Below are 6323 nucleotides of genomic sequence, written 5' to 3'. Positions count from 1 at the left end.
ACAACCAAATGTGGAACAACAATGGTGGGCTCTTCCATTCAAACTTTCACTATAACTTGTTCCTTTAAGTTCATTTGGTAAAAACAAAATCTACACTGAAATTCTTGTTTGGCAAACTCACACGTTTCTCTGTCTGGTAGTTCCCTTTACTTTCCATTATGGATTTTTAGCTATACACTTAAAATTCCTACTAGTCACAGATCAATCATGAGCTTCATTGTAACATTTTATAAAATTTATTCCTTCCTCCCACACCTCTTCAACATTTATTTCTTGGAAGAATTGATAGCTCAATACTCGACAATTGGATCCATGGTGATAATAAATACCATGTCTAAAATGACAATTAAAACAATTCAAGAATGCTACTAGCAGAGCTCATGTATAGTGAAACCTGGCAACTTCAGTGTCACTTTCTGGAAGAACAGATAGGTCCCCAAAACAGGAGAGTTCAAACAGGGCCCTTTCAAATTGGCAGATTATCAATGGCTAAAGTATTCAATGGGAGGCCTATAGACAAAGATACTCAGTGATTAAGTGGCCTACATACACCTTACAGCTTTTCTTTCAAATATCAACTATAAGAGAAGCCCTATTTTTAAAGTCTCTTGGGTATTTTAACTAGTTTCTGAATTATCTGTAGGAAGCTCTGACTTAGTTGTATAGAGTTGATATATGTGTTTACCATTAAATCCAGATCATGTTTTATATTAAAATTTATGTTATGCAAAGCCAAGTTACTCGATCTTTAGTCAGTCAACGTGTTCATCAAATACACTTTGAAATGCTTTTGTCCATTTTTATAGCACTCATTCTCAACCTTTATCACAGGAAGACTACATGAGACCTTCATCGATGCATACACATCAATGCCTACACATCTGCCTGATGTCAGGCAGATTGAGGGCTTCATAAATGGGGATGGAAGCTTTATACCTTCTGCTCTGTGTTTCCATTTGACTCTGCAACAATGAAGCTCAGCTGAGAGCATGTCGGGATCCAGTAAGTCACTTCTGTACATGGTGTTCCTCTGACATATTGAGTTTGAGTTATCCCATGACTGATGGTACCAGAGATATGCATTTAAGAGCTCTGAGGTGCTGTTCTGAGAATATACCTTTCAGCTCCTGAAGAACGTGTTGCACTGTTGGAGCACTTGGGGTTTCTTTACAGTAACTCTGAGGTTAGTTGAGATTCCAAGTTGCCTTGCTGAGCTCTGTGGAATTTCCCAGGGAGTTTCATTTGAATATCAGGTTTGGTTGCCAAATTTGTGGCTTCCTCAAACCAAAACTCATGATGAACTTCAATATTTTCCATCATTTCATTGAGTGCATGCAGTACAGCAGTCAAGCTATTAGCTGCAAAGAAGAAATCAGAGGTTTGCCCTCAGAAATTTTCCCCAGAGGCTCTTGTAAAAGATAGGAGACTTTAAAGAACAATAATGATAACAGTGAAATCAAAATCTGCTACTATACTACAGAGTACAAATGCTTGGCCAGCTATACAGTTATTCCATCTAGTATTTGGGTCACTATTTATACCATCTAAAACAAGTGCTTACAGGAGGTCCACTACAATTCAAAAGCATCATGCCTGCCTGTCCACTGAGAATGGCAAATTTCGTTCAGTCCTTTACCCTTTTCTTCACTGTTCTGAAAAAGAACAGAAATTACATTGCCAAATTCTAAAAGCAGTTGCAGCCAACAATGGAAAAAAGAACAAACTTCCTCAACTTTTCCTATAACAATTGTTATAGGAAAAGTTATAGCATTTGTTCCTCAATTGCTCCCATAACAGGCACTGATTTTGCCAACCACATACTTAAGGCACAGGAAGAGCAGAGTATGTAGATAGCTTGAGGGGTTTTCTTCAAAAGTCTAGAAGCAAACAACTTCCATTTTAGAAGAAAATCCACCAGACATAATGTAAATCTGGCCATAACAATATTCCATATTTAGTGCCCACTTGTAACTTTCAGTGTGAAATTTCGCAGCCAAAATTTCTGCATCTGCCTCATAAGGTGGGAAGCCCACAGATTCCACTCCCAGGTCATGAGATTCATCAACAAACCTCACCAACACTGTAGGTGATCTTCCCCGGCTATGTCAGTGATAATGGAAAAGAAGTGTGAGTCTCTCAAGTCCCTGAGGGTTTCTTCCCAAATGCAGCTCCCACAGATCTCTAGCAGCCTCTAGAATCTCACAGACTCTAGCATCTGATTTGGTTGTATTTCAGAAAAAAAAAAGTGCTCATGGCTGTCGTCTCAAAACACTTTCTCAAGACCTCTTCACCTTGGCCGGGCACTGTGGCTCACGCCTGTAATCCCAGCACTTTGGGAGGCCGAGGCGGGCGGATCATGAGGTCAAGAGATCGAGACCATCCTGGCTAACATGGTGAAACCCCGTCTCTACTAAAAATACGAAAACAAAATTAGTCGGGCGTGGTGGCGGGTGCCTGTAGTCCCAGCTACTCGGGAGGCTGAGGCAGGAGAATGGCGCAAACCCGGGAGGCGGAGCTTGCAGTGAGCCGAGATCGGGCCATTGCCCTCCAGCCTGGGCAATAGAGCGAGACTCCGTCTCAAATAAACAAACAAACAAAATCCTCTTCACCAGAATTTATCTGTACTCCAGCAGTACTTCGATGTTACCGGGAGTAAAGAGACCTTCTGGCATTTCATCAGTCTCACATCTATCCAGAGGTATATTTTGTTTTTCCAACAAAATCAACATTTCAAATGGAGATTTTAGGTGTTCTTTATTTTCTTTCTCTTTAGGGGTTAGAGGCAAAATGTCCACATCCTTCCCTTGGCTGGCTTCTACTGCCCTGGGGTTCTGAACTCTGCTGTTGTTGGTTTCTTTATGTTTTCATTCCTGTTCAGAAGTTTCATCAACTTTTTTCTGTTTCAGTGTTCTAATTTCATCTTTCTTCAATTCTTTTATTCATTTTCTGTGTCTACTATGTGGATTGTTCAAATGAGTGGTAAGATCAAATACTGGGCCAGGCACAGTGGCTCACGCCTGTAATCCCAGCACTTTGGGAGGCTGAGGCAGGTGGACAATGAGGTCAGGAGTTCGAGACCAGCCTGACCCTGTCTCTACTAAAAATACAAAAATTAGCTGGGCCTGGTGGCATGCTCCTGTAATCCAAGCTATTCAGGAGGCTGAGGCAGGAGAATCGCTTGAACCCGGGAGGTGGAGGTTGCAGTAAGCCAAGATCATGCCACTGCATTCCAGCCTGAGTGACTGAGCAACACTCTGTCTCAAAAAAAAGATCAAATATTGCTGGGATTGCATTATCTCAAAGATTTTCTATTAAGACTAGCTCTACAGATGGTAGAGGACTCAGAAATGGTTGGCACCTAATTGAGAATGTGTATTTAATTAATTAGATGTTTTATCTAATAGGTCTGCTCTCCGACATTTCTCCACCTACTTTGCGCATCTGGATGGATCCTGTGGGAACCTGAAGAAGACCAAGTTGGACCATGTGCTCTTCCGCATACAGGTGGGGACACCACAGAAGTTCTGCACTGTGGCCCCACACTGCCTCGGGAGGTAGCACGGCCAGCTCTGCAGGGCTTGTGCACCAAAAGAGAAGCTAAAACTAGTTTGGTAACTTTTTTTTTTAAAAATAAATAGAGATGGGGGTCTCACTATGTTGCCCAGGCTGGTCTTGAACTTCTGGGCTGAAGTAATCCTCTCGCCTCGGCCTCCCAAAGTACTAGGATTACAGCTGTGAGCCACTGCTCCTAGTCCTGGTTTGGTAACTTTTTTTTTTTTTTTTTTGAGACAGAGTTTCGTTTTTGTCGCCCAGGCTGGAGTGCAGTGGCACAATCTCAGCTCACTGCAACCTCTGCCTACCGAGTTCAAGCAATTCTCCTGCCTCAGTTTCCCAAGTAGCTGGGATTACAGGCACCCACAACCATGCCTGGCTATGGCTATTTTTTTGTATTTTTAGTAGAGACAGGGTTTCACCATGTTGGCCAGGCTGGTCTTGAACTCCTAGCCTCAGGTGATGCGCCCACCTCGGCCTCCAAAAGTGCTGGGATTACAGGCATGAGCCACCCTGCCCGGCTCCTAGTTTGGTAACTTTTGACCTCCATTTAATGTACACAAGGCAGAGATAATTACTTTTGAAAGCTGAAAGCCAGGAAAGTTGAGGAGTGTCTGGGATCTTACCTGAAGCTATTTGAGACCACGGGAGTGTTCCCTGTGGGTCATACTCTCAGGGATGTTTGTGATCACTAAAGTGAAAAATTAGCTCAGGTCAATTATATTTATAAATATGACTTGATATTAAATGTCAGCTTATGACATCATGAGGGAAAAATGCACTTATCTCTCTACCTTTTACAATCACTTATTCATTTATTCCATATTTATTATCTGCCTACTACAAATACTGAGGCAGGCCCTGGAAATATCTAGAGGAGTAAGACGAAAAATCTACCACCATGGACATCATAGTCTTGTCCAGTGGTTCTCAATCTCAACTGCATATTAGAATAATCTGGGAGCTTTTTTTAAAAAAAATCACTGATGGCCGGGCACAGTGGCTTATGCCTGTAATCCCAGCACTTTGAGAGGCCAAGGTGGGTGGATCACCTGAGGTCAAGAGTTTGAGACCAGCCTGGGCGACATGATGAAACCCCATCTCTACTAAAAATACAAAAATTAACCGGGTATGGTGGCAGGCGCCTGTAATCCCAGCTACTTGGGAGGCTGAGGCAGGAGAATCGCTTGAACCTGGGAGGTGGAGGTTGCAGTGAGCCAAGATCACACCATTGCACCCAGCCTGGGCAACAAAAGCAAAACCCCATTTCAAAAAATAAATAAAAATTTAAAAATCACTGATGCCCAGGCCCCATACCTGACCAATCAATTCTGCATGTTTTGGGAATCAGGCCCATGCATCAGTAGTTTTAACAGCTCCTTAGAGGATCCTAATATGTAGCCAACATTGAAAACCACTGGGCTAGTAAATATTAAAGGGTTTAGGGTAGGGCTGCAAATATAATATAATCACCTGGGAAGTTAAAAGTGTATATTTGTGTATGTATGTGTGAGTACATATGTATCCTTTCCTATCCCTCCCCTCACCCTAAGGCATACTGAGATCCTTAGAGAGGGGAGTACTGTATGTATTTTGGAAAATTCCTTTCCTTAAACAAGTAGAAAGTAGAAAGGAAATTATAATACCATCTGATAAATGAAAGATACAGGTTACTGCAGGTTACTGTAAGATCACATAGACAGAAAACCTAGCCAAGGCCGATGAGGTCAGCGAATCTTGTCCAAAAGGAGCTATAAGAGCTATGACTCCTAAAAGAGTTAGCCAGGCAAAGGGAGATTGGGTAGGTTTTTCCAAATAAAAGGCCTAAGCTCAGGCTAGTCTTTGGCAAATTCTTGTTCAGCTCTTTCCCCTTCCCTGTTCTTCCTCCCTCCCTACTGAAAGGTCTCTCCTGAAGAGTACTTCATGATAAATCACTGACTCAGGCCCAGTTTCCAGGTAGTCCCAACTAAGATAGTTAGTGCCAGAGGAGTTTCAGGAAGCAGGATGGACTTCTGGAGTTGGATCATCTACTAGACAATGGATCATTAGACCTTGGTGGAGTATCATCAGTTCCCAGCCTACCTGCCCAGGCTGCCTTTCACCTGTGGTGGGCTGGAATATGATGCGGGTGAAAGGGAATGCAGTGGCTGGTGCTATGTCCCTGGCATTGTGGAGATATTGGAAAATAGTAATTGAAGGGACCGTAGAATTGGATGGCTGCTGCTGGTCACCGATTATGTGCTTAAGAGAGGAAATGACAGGCTCAGGTCAGCTAATCATGAATGAAAAGTGCAGTGTGAGAGACAGAGGGCCTGCTAGACAGCATTGCAAGAGACTCTCATCACCTGCAGCTGCAGGACAGCCCAACATTTTTCTGTAACAAAGAACTACAGTGAAGGCTTAATGTTCAGTCAAAGCAGATCTCCTTCATTAAAGGCAGAGCCCTGCAAGGGTAGGGTGGGACTCTGAACTGTGCAATAAGGCTATATCTCATTGCTGGGTAGATAGATGCAGCATTTGACCTCCAGAGTCCACCAAACCAATGTGCCTGCAGAAGTGATCCGCTCCCATTGCTAAAAGAGAATGCCCTCCTTTCCTTGCTATGCAGAAGTTTCGAATGAAACGGACCCTTATATGACAATGTTTTCCCTCCTTCCACCTTTCACTTTTGGACACCAGACCAAAACTGGGGTCACGCTTCATCATGACTCAATTGGGGTAATGCTTGCTGTGCTGAGTGGAAAGGGGCTACAAGCCAAAGTGTTACTGGA

At 43.0% G+C, this 6323-nt stretch overlaps 1 pseudogene; it reads right to left on the bottom strand.

Moving 5' to 3' along the window:
- Positions 1 to 414: 414 nt before the first annotated feature.
- On the bottom strand, positions 415 to 3538 carry THAP12P6 (THAP domain containing 12 pseudogene 6; annotated as a pseudogene).

The sequence above is a fragment of the Homo sapiens genome, chromosome 13, assembly GCF_000001405.40.
Source record: "Homo sapiens chromosome 13, GRCh38.p14 Primary Assembly".
Lineage (NCBI taxonomy): Eukaryota > Metazoa > Chordata > Mammalia > Primates > Hominidae > Homo > Homo sapiens.
This window is presented reverse-complemented; position numbering and strand designations above follow the sequence as displayed.